Source organism: Homo sapiens, chromosome 22 (assembly GCF_000001405.40).
Source record: "Homo sapiens chromosome 22, GRCh38.p14 Primary Assembly".
Lineage (NCBI taxonomy): Eukaryota > Metazoa > Chordata > Mammalia > Primates > Hominidae > Homo > Homo sapiens.
The window spans coordinates 22,926,634-22,940,776 of record NC_000022.11 but is presented as its reverse complement, the minus strand read 5'-3'; the positions used below and the strand labels follow the sequence as shown (position 1 = coordinate 22,940,776).

Sequence of the window (14,143 nt, the reverse complement as noted above, 5' to 3'; positions counted from 1 at the left end):
ATCATCTATCTGCTATGTGAAATGCAAGGCTGAGTCTGGAATTCCAGATACAACCAGTACAGATCTCCAGGCTGCACTGGAAACTTTCTCTTTATACTCTTTTCTTCTTTAATTAGGAAAGAATTCACTATGTTTGAAAAACAAAGTGAAATGATGTGTTGTACAATGACAGGCCCTGGACAAACTGTCACACTGGACTCCAATTGGGTGTTTCTGATGCCCTGCTCCTGGGCAAAACTGCCCATGTGTCAGTGGCAGCAGAGTGGACAGCTGAGTGATGGGACCTCCACACAGTGGGCTTCTAGTCAGCAGTGAAATGAGTAATTCATCAACATCAATATCAAAGAGACAGTGTTGAGAAAGAAGCAAACCATGAAAAATACACATGGTCTTCTTCAATCCGTATGAAGTTCAAAAGCAGGACAAGCTGAAAAACCGTTTGTTGAAGGGCACACACAGGAGGTCAAACTTTAAGGAAAAGGAAAGAGATGATGAATTCCGTGGTTCCTGAGGTCTAGGCAGTATTCCTAGCCCAGGAGGCTAATAGATGTGAAACTCACATCATGTGGAATTCACCATTTTAAAGTGTACAATTGAGTGGCATTTAGTACATTCACGATGTTGTGCAATCATCACTCCTATTATTACTCTGTAAACTTTACAAATTCATCGTATTTATTTATTTAATGGTTGTTACAGTTTGCAACTAAAATAGAAGGAAATACATCAAAATATTAGCAGTGGCTCTTCTGGGTGAAGTACAAGGGGCAAATTGTTTTCTCCTGTTTGTTTTTCTGTACACGTTGTTTACTGTGTCACATTGTTTACTGTGAATAGTTACTATTTGAAACTAAAGATCAAGGGCGATAAACTGTATTTTAAGAGGAAGTCAGAAAACAAACAAGGTGGCCCTCTCGTATGCTGTGCTGACACCTGTGTCCCTGTAGCCTCAACTACGCCTGTTGCCCCCACCTGCGCCTGAAGTTTGAGGTCGCTGGTGGCACCTCTGTGCCAGGGGGCCCTGGAACCTCTCCTAGGATGGTCCCAGAGAAAGGAGAGAGATCTGCTTCCTGGAATCTCAGCTCTAGATGCTTTGGTCAACTCCATGTCATCTGTGTTTGATAAGCTTGATTTCCATTTGTTTTGGCCCCTCTTTTAGTGTGCTTTTTGTTAGCAGAAACTCACGAACTAGAGAACTGCAGGTCCCCCAGGGGAGTGGGTTGAGATGTTTTTGACATCAGCCACCTCTTTCTCCCACAGTTTTGTTATTAAAACCCCATTTTAACAACCTTGAAAGACAGGTTTTAAAAGAAAGTTGCAATTTTCTTACAATTCTACTGCTTAATTAAAAGAGTAGGCCCTGTGGTTCCCTTTCCCCATCCTGGTGGTGTTCTCCCTGCCCCTGTGGTGGTGTTCTCCCTGCCCCTGCCTCTCACCAGTGTATGCTGTTCCCAGGTGGCAGTAATCCTATCTCAGGTCTGGCATTCCAAGGCAGGCTCCTGCTCCTGGGTGGGGAGGGGCCTCCATGCTGGGTTGAATGTCTGTGCTTTGCTGTCCCCTGACCCACAGAGTGCCCTTGGACAGGACATAGGTCTCAGTTTCCTAAGTGAGAGTCCCGGATTAGATGGACTGTGGTTAACCCTTTATGTGTCATGGCCTCTTTCTGTATAAAGCCACAGATCTTTCCCTGCAATGAGCATTTATACAGACACTTTTCAGGGTTTTGTGAACCCGTGAGCTGGACATCCTAGAGCTCTCCTTCAATCCCATGGCCTCTAGGGTACCCTGCTCTGGAAAGGCAAGACTGGGCCTCTTTTTTGGGACCCCGGAGGGCAGACCTTGGGTTTCGTCGTGGCACCCCTGCTGGGTGATGTGCCCAGGGCTTTCCACGATGATCCCACTGAATCCTCACATAGCCCTGAGGGGAAGCTGCCACCATCATCACCTCCACATCACAGAGGAGTACACAGGCAGGACAGTCACACTCGGACAAGTGGTGGAGCCAGGACACAAACCCAGGTCTGTCTGGACTCTAAGCTTAGGCTCTTACCATGAACTGTGATCCAACCATCGGGAGAGTCAGCCCAATGACCTTCAAGTTCCCTCCAATGCTAAGGTCACACCTGAGAAGCTTGCTAGGGTTTCTAAAGCATCTTCGTGCACATATGTCCTTCCAGGGTTCTTCCCAGCAGTTTGTGAGATGGGCAGGGCAGATGAAGGGAAAAGGCTTCAAGACATTAAGGAAAGGGCCCAAGATCACACCCGAGTCAGGATCAGAGCAGGAATTGGAATCTAATCTCTACACAGAGTTGCCAGATACCAATCTGTGCTTCTCATGGTTAGAATTTACCTACTTATCCAACTATTCACCCATCCAACTACCCACCCACACATGTACCCACCAGTCCACGCATTCATCTATCCAGCCATCCACTCACCCACCCAACTATCCACTCATCCATTCACCTACCAATCCACCCACTCATCCACCCATCAATCACTCACCCATCTATACATCCATCCACCTACCCCTTTCTCCCTCCCTCCTTCTTTCCCTCCCTCCCTTTCTTTCCTCATTCAGACTGTTTATTGAGAGCCTTGAAGGTCAGGCACTTGGATGGCTGCTGGGGAGATGAAGCTTGAAGATGTGTGAACGGGCTGCTCCTCTTGGAGACATCATCTTTTCCCTCATCAGTGAGGGTTCTGGAAGGGGAATGTGGGTTGGGAGGCAGGCAGGATGGAGAGGTGGCTGTTGAGTTCCTGCCCTTTGGGTTTTGGGTCACAGTACTAGACTCATAGAATTGGGTTAAAAACTTGTATTTTTTTTTCTAAGGAGAAGCTGGAAAGTGAACAAGTAAGATAGGGCGTCTGGCTCCTTGCTGTGTATAGAACAGATACCCAGCAATGACCATAGGTGCAGAGTTTATTTATGTAGAGACTTTTTGAATATAAGAAAAGAAATGACAAATATATATGAGTTACTATATAATGAATATAAGTATAATTAAAATAAACCAACTATAGGTAGTGCAGGGTGAGTTTCCAATAATAAATTCTAAACCAACTTCCATCATTCATGGAACCAGATATTCTATTCAGGAATTAATATGCATTCTCCCATACATTTCCTATTATACACATGGGAGGTAGCTACTCATATTAAATCAATATCAAATAGATGGGAACATGAGGAGAGAGATTAGCTACCAAGGTAAATTGTCATCTCTCAGTGGCAGAGAAATTTGTCAACCGAGGTCTTCCTAGAAATATGCTCTGACCTACCATACAATTCTTCCTGCCTGAGGAACTGGTAAAAACTCTCCAAGTCCATCCTGGCTTCCTTCTTTCCTTCCCAACTTCTGCTCATCCTGACCTGACCTTGTCCCAAGCTGCTCTATGGCTTTTATTGCTCTTTGCAGAAATCGCTTAAACTTTTTGTTTGCAGTTGCTCCCTCCTCTGTGTTTAACTGTATTTTAAGGGGGGGTTCATTTTCCAATCCTCTTTGCTAAATGTCGGCTGCTAGGTACTCATCCCCCCTGGAATGCCCTCTCTTTCCATTTTTATGACTCAGCAACTTTCCCTGGGCTTCCTGCCTCTGAGCTGGCTGGAGCTGTGAGACAATTTCGGGCTTTGGGCAGCACCTAAGACATACAGGATGCGAATCCATGTTAGGATCGTAGTGACCTCTTCCATATAATCCCCCATTGTACTACTCCTCAAGAGAGAACACTCTGTCTTCTCATCAGTGTAATCTCAAACCCTGCACCCTGACTGTTGTGGGTGTAGCAGACACACAAGAAATATTTGCTGAATGTTAAGTGAATTGGAATAAACATGTTGATTTAAGTGACAAAACCTTCTATTTTTCATAATAATAAATGTATAATGATTGTCAAAAAATGAAAAAAGTTAGATGTACAAAATGAAAACCAATATTACCTACAGTTTACCCCCGCAACCGGTAGCCCCGGGGAATAGATGTGGATACGGATGTGCATCTAGGTATGGATAAAAATGCAGGGATTCATGCACACACAGGTCACGTCTTATCTGGTGGCCTCTTTGGGATAATATGTTCAAGGCTTTTCAGATGCCATTCGCATCATCGAATACAGCATTTTTATAGGATCTTACATCTTAAATTGGCTTAATGTTTTGTTCTCCGATTATAAAATCTGAAAACAGGAAAAATTAAATAAGAATACAAAGCAAGTCTCTGATCCTGCACTGCCCAAGAGGCCCTGTTAGCGCGTTGGTATGGCGCCTTCCAGATCTTTTTCTGCATGAAATCATGGGCTTATCACAAAGATGGGAACTTCTTTCCTCACTTCTTCTTGCCCTGTTGTGAACATCTGTCTATGGCCCTTCTCCAAGGCCATCTGGGGATGTGGATGTGAGGCTGGCATCTGCTCTCGGGCTCTTTTCTGTCACGTTTTGCTGTTAGCTCCCTGGCTAACATCCACATGCACTGGCTCTCTGGCATCTCCATGATAAATTCTTATGAGCAGGATTTCTGGGTCAAAAGAGAGTGCATTCCCAGGCTGTGGAGACAGGGGACACGTTCAGGAGGGCCTAAAAGGCTGAACCGTGTCTCAGCCTTGAGGCCTCTCAGAATCGCCAGCTTGGGAAGTTAGGAGGCCTGTGGTTGCTCATCACTCCCTCACCAACTCGTTCTGCCCAGGGAAGGTCCTGGGGTGGGGGCTTCAGAGCCCTGTCCTGGCCACCCCCCTCCCTGGGGTCCTGCTGACAATCAGGGCCACTGCTGGCTGGTTCTGAGATGCCTTCTGGTGGACCCTGGGACCCAGGATGGAGCTCAGGGTGTGGGGAGGCAGCCAGGGGGCAGCATCAGGCCCAGGGGCTGGACTAGGAGGGGGTGGGGTGGGGCGCAGGCTCTACTGCCCCCACCTGTGAGCTGCACAAACATCCAGCAGCAGCCCTGAAACTGCCCCATGCTCCTCCTGGGCCACACCTGGGCCTGTTTGTCACTCATCCCATGCCCGGGTGGCCATGAGCTCAGTTTCTCTTCCTCTTATTTTTCTCCTTTTGTCACTCTGAGTTCTGGTTTCAGCCAACTTGGGGTTAAATTTAGCCTGGGGATTTCCAGGGGTGGCCAGCTGCAGGCAGGGCCACCAGAGCTGGGAAAGCGCATCCCCCAACCCCATCCCTTGGCCTGGCCCCCACCCTACTCCCATCTCAGGCCTCCCTGGCCAACCCCTTCACCCAGGAATCTGCTGGTTTCCTGAATGGCTGGCACTCGGGGTCCCTGACCCAGTTCCTCCTTGACCAGAGGGAAGGCTGGGCCCAGGAAGGCAAAGGCATTTGCCCAGGTTCACACAGTGTCACCCGCAGGCCCAGGCAAGAGCAATGACTGAGGGTAGGTGAGGGTCCCCATAGGCCAGGCACAGCTTAGGCATCATCTCAATCCGCAAACCTACCTTGTGGGGAGGGACTCTTATCACCCCCTTGGGCAGATGAGGAAACTGAGGGCTACAGAAGAGAAGCAGATTGCTCAAGGTCAAGGGTTGATGAGGGCTGAGCATGGTGGGGGGACCCCTTCTCTGTCTGACACTGAGGTCTGGGCTCCCAGGGCAGATGCCCCTTTGGGAAGAACAGTGCTCTGGGCTCCCACAGGCCTTTGCAGCCACCCTCCTTCCTTGCATCTCCCAAGGCACAGGGAAGGAATGGCCATCAGGGCCTGTAGCCCTAACTCTCATCCATGCTGCTTTCAGGCCTCTTTTCTGCACCCCTGAAATGGGGCTGGAGCTGTGGAATGGTGGAGGAAGTGAACAATCTGGTCTCTGGCAGAGGGCAGTGGTCCACACAGCCACCCTCCATACAGGTCTTCTCCATGCAGGCTCCTCCACACGGGTCCCACCACACAGCGCCCTCCACACGGGCCCCTCCACACAGGTCCCCTCCACACAGGCCCCCTCCACACAGGCACCCTCCAACAGATCCCCTCCACATGGGCCCCTCTACCTGGCACCCTACCGACAGGCCCCTCCATGCGGGCCCCTTCACACATGATCCCTCCACGCGGGCCCCTCCACGCAGGCCCCTCCACATGGGCCCCTCCACACATGATTTCTCCACACAGGCCCCTCCACATGGGCCCCTCCACACATGATCCCTCCACACGGGCCCCTCCACACATGATCCCTCCACACGGGCCCCTCCACACATGGGCCCCTCCACACGTGGGCCCCTCCACATGCCACCCTCCATACAGGTCCCCTCCACATGGGCCCCTCTACATGGGCCCCTCCACACAGGGGCGCCTATGTGAGCTCGGGCAGATCCCTTTCTCTCCTGGTCTGTTTCTCCATTTGTCAGATGGGAGGCCCTGGGCTGGAAGTCAGGACACCACAGAGCTGGCTCTGGCTTTTTGGGATCTAACTGCTCTGGGCCTCAGTTTTCCTACCTGTGAAATGGGACCATGATTCTGGCTGTGGCCTCACAGAATCCCTGAGTGGCTCAGGTGGATAACATGTGTCCACGTGTTTTATAAATGGTACGGGACGATAAGGCCACTCAATAGCGTCTCAACACAGGATGCAGCTACCTGTAGAGTTGCAGATGTGGTCAGACCTGAGGTTTAGGGCCTCTACTCTCGGCCTTGCTCTCTCTGGGCCCTGCCCCTGCCCCTCTGCAGAGCTCTGGGGCTTGGGGCACTCTGGTCCACTGGCCTGGACCAGCATGAATGTTCATGGCCTTGGTCCACCGTCCAACCCAGAGAACTGTGCACCCTGCAGGGCCCTGCCTTGGGCCTGGCTCCCAGCATCCTCTGCTCATTCCCTCTCCTCCACCGGGTGGTCACTACCTGTGTCCTATGCAGGGCCCAGACCTCTTTTCTCCCTTGTTCCCTGCCCCCCTGGAAGCCTGGTCCATCTTGGAGCCCATCCATGTGGCACAGACTCCAAGGACTTCCTGGGTATTAAGTAGGGTGGCAGGCCAGGTGACGTGGGGGACAGAGTATGGGGCCTTTGAGGTGAGCTTTCAGGGTGCTTCCATGAGGGCCCTTGTGCACTACTGTGGCCCTGTGGGAAGAAGGGATGCTGTGGTCACTCCTATACCTTTGCTCACACTCACCCCTAACACACCCGTCCTCTCTCTGCCCTTCAGTCCTTGATCCAGCTCCTAGGCCTGTTTGAGGTTGCTGCTGCCACCAGGCTACCTTTGATGACCACATGGAATCCCCAGTATCTCCTGCCCCTTGTCTTCTTCAAGCAAGGGGGTCTCATCTGCAATCTGAGCTCTGGGCTGGGCGGGGACAAGTACCCCCCCTTGCTTGCTTTACTTCAGGAACTGGCCTGGGTGGCTGGCATCCTGTGCATGTTGAGGGGACGGTGGTGGGGGATGCCAGTGGATGAGCTGATTGAAGATGGTGCTGGGTCTAGGGCCACCCTGTTCAGCCTCGTGGGTGGGCCTGTGGGGAGGAAGGCAGAGGTGGGGGCACTCATCCCTGGCCTGCCCACCCTACAGTTCGCATCTTATGTGTCAGGTGACATGTGCAATGGCTACGTGTGGCGGGCCTGGCTCCTGGCTTTCCTGGGCCAAGGGAGCTCCAGGCTGGTGTCCTCTAAGAATGAGCTGGTGAAGTCCCACAGGTGGATGGGATTTGCCGTCTGCAGGGGTGAACCCAGGCCCTGAGGCTGGGTACTTGGTCTCCTCCCATACTCTCATCAGAACCTGGAGCCCTGGAATATCCTGGGAACGTTTCCTCCACATGGAGAAAGACAGGGAGGTCTGTAACGGGGGCAGTGGGTAGGATCTGGTCATCGGACAGGGGGCATTAAGCCTCACCACAGTGGCCTGTTCCTCACACCTGTCAACCTCTCTTTGACCTCAGCATCTAGACCCAGCATGGGGAAGACTGGACAGGGAATGGGGCACCCCAAGGCCACAGCCCCCTCCTCCCATGAGAAGGCACACTCCAGGTCTCACCTGGGGGTGGGCTGGGGCAGTCCTGCCTTGCCTGGGACACCATGTGTCAAGAGCCCTGCACAGGCCAGGCCTCGGGGCTTGTGGAAGGATGAGTGTGTGTGTGTGTGTGTGTGTGCGCGCGTGTGTGTGTGTGTGCATGTTCAGATATATGGATGGACAGACACACAAATAAGTGACTGACCAGTCTGAGGTCCTGCCCACTGGGTAGGGACCCCGGAAGTCCTCTTGGCAGCTGTGCTTCCAGGAGCTTCGTTACTGCCTCAGGCTCTGGGCTCCCAGGGAAGCTCTTGGAAGGGTTCTTGTTTCCCTTCCCATCCCCTTACTTGGCCCAGCTCCCTTGAAGGGTCCAAGACCTGGGGGCAGCAGGTGGAGTGTGATCAGCAGGGTCCCATGTCCAGCTCTGGCCAGCCCTGCCCACCCCAGGCCCCTCTGAGCTCCAAGTGTCTGGCTGTGCCCCCCAATTGGGCACAGCTCTGAACCTGGCATTTAGAACGGTTCCTGGGGAGCTGTGAGGAGGGGGTAGGGCCTGCATGAATAGAAGCTTCTGGAGCAGAAGGTGCTACTTCTGATCATTGATTGACCATGATCTCCAGACCCTGTCTAACTCAAGCCTGGGCACGGGGCTTGGGTGTCTTGGTGCGGGGACACAGGACCATTCTCCAGCTGGGCTGGTGGAAGCTTTGGAAACTGAATCGCCCCCCTGCCTCCCACCCTGGGGAGAAGGAGGCACCTGCTGCCAGGGCTGAGGCTTGGTGGGGTTTCCCAGCTATTTCGGGCCTCAGGCACTCTTGGTTTCACCAGGCCAGCTGCACTGGGGTGAGGGTTCCAGGGCCGGTGGGGAGCCCAGCATGGGCAGGGGGCTGGCCTGAGGCTGTCTGGGGCTGGAACAGCCCAAGGATGAAAACAACCAACGGCAGAGACAAACAAAACATCTATTTTCCATCTGATTGTCCCTCCCCCCACCCAGAGAGTCAGTTTCCATTATTATCAACCCAGCTGCACAGAGGGGAAACTGAGGCTGAGCTCGAGCCACTAACTCCAGCCACAGGGGCCTGGCGCTAGTCAGGGCTCCTCAGTCGCTGGCTGCCTCCAGCCCCTGGGACGTCGCCCCCCGTGAGACCCCAGCCAGGTGCTCCCTACCCCCCATCCTCTGCCCTATTTCTCCCCAGCACAAATCCCGCCTCCTACATGACATTGTTCCTTGTCTGTTGACTTGATTTCCCTCTCCCGCAAACATGAGCTGTCTGAACCTGGCTGTGCCTGCCTTAACCCTGCTGGGTTTCCAGGAGCAGCAGGTCCTCAGAAGAGAGCTGAACATGTGACTTCGCTCTGGGCAGCCCCTGAGAAGGGGGCTTACTTACCTGGCCGGTCTGGGGTCTCACCTTCTTCAGCTACTCTGCCCAGCAGCCCCTGGGGACCAGCACCCCTTCCTTCTGGGAGCTGCTCTCTGCTGCCCAGACCTTTGCAAACTTTCTGTCCCCTGTGGGAGCCCAGGCCAAGTCTGACCACCACTTCCCATCCTCCTCCCCAGACAGGTCAGGAGAGGATGTGTCTAGGGGTCTGAGTGGGAGGCTCCCCTTTGGCCTGAAACTGTGAAGATGAGGCCCCTTTCTCCTCTATCATTTCCATAGTCAGAAAGTCCCAACATGTCCCTGCACAGGCTGGGAACTGGGTGGGCAGGGAGGGCCCATCCTAGTGACACCTGTGAGGGGTCCAGGCTTTGGTGCCTGGCACGGCAACTGGCACATTGGATGCTCAGTGAACATCAGACCTGATGTGAGAAGCAGGAGGGACCCGTGGCCAGATCAAGGGTGTTGGTGTTGCTATAGGAAGAGAGAGTCACCATGAAGGATGGCCTGTATGGAAAGAGGCACACTGCGGGTGCCCTGGTGGGTCGTCCTGGCTGTGGGCTACTCTTTCCTGGAGCTGACACGGGGGCTCTGTGTTGCCAGCCACAGAAGTCACCCAGCCCCTCCCTGGCTCCTGTCCCAAAGCCAGGAGGCATTCTCCCTGCTGCCTGTGGTCTCCCCAGGAACTAGGGCTGCCCAGAGGAGCTGTCCCTTGCCGGTCTCTGGACGTGGTGTGCTGTTGCTGAGTGGGAGATGGTATTAGGGCCACCCCTGGTTGTGTTGTGAGCTGGGCCTGAGTGAGCTCATTTCTAGGGGCTCCAGGCAGGGGACCAGGAATGTCATGGTGACTGCCTGGATGTGGCCCCTAGTGAGGCTCTCCTGGCCCCTGGCCCCCATTGTAATGTCCAGCACTGCTTACCATAGTGCTAGGTGGCTGGGCTTGGCTTCCTCCCCCTCATTATTAGCCATTATGAAGAACGTCATTCAGTCATTTAGCAAACAGTTACTCTGAGCTTGGGCAACCAAAATTTGTTGTTTAAACTGGGATGTTCCTGGGAGTGGAAGGGGCACTATTAATAACTTCACGAGTCTCTCTGATAGATGTGGGTGGGGGTCCTGGAGGCAGCCCAGGCCTGGGTCTCTGGGCAGAGCCCACCATTACTGCTACAATGGGCCAGGCACGGCCAGGCCTGGGTCCCGAGCTGAGGCTGGGTACACATAGGCACCTGGGAAACTGCAGCTGATTGGTGGCCAGTGGTCTGGGGACCTGGATGGGGCTAAGGGTCACCAGGGGCTGGACACTGCTCTAGCATCCACCTCAGCTTCCAGAGTCAGTGGCACAAACTGGGAATGTCCTGGAAAATGCAGGATGCAGGTCATCCCCCTCCCCTCAGACCTTGCCCAGCCCACGTGTTTCCTGGGGAGACCACCCTTGTGAAATTACTGGCCAAACAGGGTCAGGTTTGATGTGGTCCCAAGTGACCAAGTGACAAAGACTGACCCTGATCCTGACCCTACTGCCCCTGCTGATGTCACTGTGTTGACATTTCCGTGGCCCATCTGCAATCCTCAAGATGACCATGTAGGAGAGCAGTTTCCCCAGATCACCCCAGAAAGAGGGAGTCCTCACGCTTGGGTTGTTACAAGAGGTACGGGTGCCTTTTGAGGTGTTTGCATAACTAAGCATTTTGGGAAAAGACCTAGTCTTCCCGGCCTCCGTTGATGCCAGCTAGGGATGCTTCTGAATCCCCGAGGGAACTGGAGCATCTCACGTGTGGCGCAGGGGATCCTGGGCAGATTTGGGGTCATTTTTCCTTCACGTCTCATTCAGCACAGGGAAGAGGACCAGTGTCAAGTCATGACACACGACTCTTTCAGGGCCGTAGAAGCTGGTCCTTAGGTCAGGGATGGAGCCCAGGGTGTGGGGTCAACATCAAGGACTCGTGTCCTGCAGGCGGGGTGGGTGGGGAATCCAGAACCTGGCCCTGGTGTGACAGAGACTCTGGAGAAGAGGATGACATGTCGGGAGGGAGGAGCAACATCCTCAGCATTGTGCTGTGTCATTAGCAGTGGGCATTGCGAGTGGATGGTGATTATTTCCTCTATGTCCCCAAAATTCGCATGTTCTAGTTGGCTGGAAACTTGATTTTGGACCTTTGTGTTGAGGAATGGGGGCTTGCCTGGGATCTGGTGGCCTCGTTATGGGGCATCTGAGCTGGTTTGCTTGTTCCCAGGTGAGTGTCGATGTCCCCCTTCTTGCCCCTGGATTCAGTGAATATGGGGGTTGAAGGGTAATGGTGCCTTTGTCCAGGCCTGGCTGGGGACACTCTCTTGGTGGCTTTGCAGGCCCCACAGGAGGCTGGGCCTGATGGGAGAGTCACCCACTCAGTTCATAGTAGCTCCCAGTCCTTTCCTCCCGCAGGGCCCTGAGCAGCCACCCCCCTCTCCTCCAGCAGGGCCCCTGCACCCCCTCCCAGGCTATTCTGGGCTCTGGCTTTGCTGTAGAGGAAGCCACAGGGCCCCTCCCTGATCTGACTCAGAACACCTCCCTCAGCCCAGGCTGCAGCTAAGCAGGGCCAGGGCCAGGACGAGTTCCTCTCACCCCATCCCCCACTGTGACACTCTTCCCTATACCTTGAGGGGTTCCCCCAGCACAGACCAACCCTCCTTCGGTGTCATGAGGCCATCACTCGTGAGGGGCTGGCCCCGGTCTGAGCTAGACACAGTGGCATGTGAAGACAGGCGTGGGCTAAGGCCCAACTCGGCTACTCCTGAACTGGGTGGAGCCTGGGCAGCGCTGGTGCATCCATCATGGTTCACGTCCCCTCTGTGAGGTGGGCAATGGCAGCTTTAGGCCTCAGGGTCACTGTGAGGGTCAGTGAGGGACTGTGATGTTCCCACTGTGGCCCAAGGATCACAGCTGGGGCTCTCTCAGATGGTTCTTTCAGTTAAATCTTTTCCTGAGTGTGGGGAGATGCTCCTGCTGCCCCAGACACTCCCTGGGCAGAGTGCCAACCTTGGAGACTTGACAGGGTGGGGGCAGTGGTGTCTCCATGTCGTTCTCCAAGCTTGTGAGCTCCTCTAGGGCAGGTGGTCCTGGGCTGCATACACCAGCCCCTGGCCCACAGCTGAGAGTTTGTTGAATGAATGAATGAGTGAGTCTGAACAAATGAATGGATGAATGAATGAATGAAAAGCCCTTAGGGCCGAGGAGTCATGAAAAGAGGCGGGCATGGGTCAGCCGGTAACCTACTGTGTGACCCTAGGTGGGTCATCACCCCTCCCATCGGAGCCTCAGTCCTCTCATCTGTGAAATGGGCACATGAACACCTGTCCTGGCTCTGCTTTGTAGACTCAGAGGGCACCCCCATGGCTGCCCTCCTGCCTGCCTCTTTCACCCACTGAGTCAACAGAGAATGAGGAGCCCAGGTCTGCCCATCCCACAGAGCCACAAGGGGGTTCATGCACTCAGCACCATCTCTTGGCCTTGCCCAGGCACGGCCTCAGGATGGAAGGGTGGCCTAGGTCAGGGGCCTGGGCAACCACTGTGCTGCCCTGAACACCTGCAGGACCTGGGCAGGCTCAGCCTCCTCTGCACGCCTTAGGGAAGGGGCTGGCTCTGGGTTGACCTTGGATCAGAGTCCCAGTGCCCACCATCTGTGCAGCCCTGGGCAGCTGTGGGACTCGGGCAGGCTGCTGGTCTCCGAATCTCCGTCTCCTCATCTGTAAGGTGTGCGGGACATGGACACGTGCCTCCTGGGGTGGTTTGGGATCCCATGACATAGAGAGGACAGACGCCAGTGCAGGGTTTCCCTGGAAGTGGCCCTGGGCCAGGTGGCAGGTGAGGTAGCATCTTCAGCAGAGCCGGGAGCAGTTCCACTGTCGAGCAGTGGCCATCGAGGGGCTCAGTGATACCCAGCCCAGCACCTGGCTGAACATCGGAGGACGTGAGGGGTGCAGCCCCTGCTTCCAGGCTCCCGTGGTGTCCCAGATCGGTGCTGGGCAGGGCGGCACCAGGAGAGCGTGGTCAGCAGCCCTGGGCAGCCATCAAGCCTGAGGCACCACTGGGCTGAGGGCTGGGGCCGGGGAAGGAGCAAGGAACCCTTTTACATTCCGGTAGTTCATGAATCACACAGTGAAAGAAAGAGTCACCAAGGGTGCTAGCTGCCGGTGGCCCTGATGGGGCAGCAGCAGAACAAAGTGGGAGGGGACCATAGAAGAGAGGACCTTGGCGGGGGGTGGGGGTGGGGGTGGGTGGGTGAGGGGCTTCAAGATGACGAGAATGATGTGAGTTGCCAAGCCCATCCTGAGGTCAACAGAAGGAGGACAGTGAGGGGACCATTGGATTGAGCCACGTGCAGGCCACTGGGGCTGTGATGGGGTGGTGGTGAGACTGCTGGGCTTGAGGCAGGAAGGGAGGGGACCGTGGAGGCCAGGAGCCCTTGATTACCACTTGTAAAAGGCAGGAGAGAGGGAGGGGCAGCCAGAGGAAGGCAGCATTCACATTTTATTACTTCTTCCTGGCAGGACCACATTTGTGCTCCTAAGGTGACCATCAGGAGGGTCTCTGGCCCTTCATACTGAGATGTTGAGGCAGAGAGACTGTGGTCCAGGTTCTCTCCAGGAAGAGCCCACCATTACTGCTGCAGTGGGCCAGGCAGGACTAGGTCTGGGTCCCAAGCCCAGGCTGGGCACATATGGGTGCTTGGGAAACCATAGTTGATTGGTGGCCAGTGGCCTAGTACCTGGATGGGGCCGGGGTCACCATGGGCTGGTCACTGCTCCAGCCCCAGCATCAACCCCAGCTCCCAGAGTCAGTGGGGAAGGGGACTGGAGTGGGGTCCGATTA

General features: G+C 54.6%; 6 annotated features.

The window, feature by feature from the left end:
* Positions 4,940–5,319: an enhancer, noted in NCBI's record as "active region_18738". NCBI's record gives its function as "activates an Ori minimal core promoter by ATAC-STARR-seq in GM12878 lymphoblastoid cells {active_cell/tissue: GM12878}" and the evidence as "EXISTENCE:reporter gene assay evidence [ECO:0000049][PMID:35858748]".
* Positions 6,490–6,579: a silencer, noted in NCBI's record as "silent region_13528". NCBI's record gives its function as "represses an Ori minimal core promoter by ATAC-STARR-seq in GM12878 lymphoblastoid cells {active_cell/tissue: GM12878}" and the evidence as "EXISTENCE:reporter gene assay evidence [ECO:0000049][PMID:35858748]".
* Positions 8,603–8,712: an enhancer, noted in NCBI's record as "active region_18737". NCBI's record gives its function as "activates an Ori minimal core promoter by ATAC-STARR-seq in GM12878 lymphoblastoid cells {active_cell/tissue: GM12878}" and the evidence as "EXISTENCE:reporter gene assay evidence [ECO:0000049][PMID:35858748]".
* Positions 11,433–11,492: an enhancer, noted in NCBI's record as "active region_18736". NCBI's record gives its function as "activates an Ori minimal core promoter by ATAC-STARR-seq in GM12878 lymphoblastoid cells {active_cell/tissue: GM12878}" and the evidence as "EXISTENCE:reporter gene assay evidence [ECO:0000049][PMID:35858748]".
* Positions 11,743–11,872: an enhancer, noted in NCBI's record as "active region_18735". NCBI's record gives its function as "activates an Ori minimal core promoter by ATAC-STARR-seq in GM12878 lymphoblastoid cells {active_cell/tissue: GM12878}" and the evidence as "EXISTENCE:reporter gene assay evidence [ECO:0000049][PMID:35858748]".
* Positions 12,223–12,272: an enhancer, noted in NCBI's record as "active region_18734". NCBI's record gives its function as "activates an Ori minimal core promoter by ATAC-STARR-seq in GM12878 lymphoblastoid cells {active_cell/tissue: GM12878}" and the evidence as "EXISTENCE:reporter gene assay evidence [ECO:0000049][PMID:35858748]".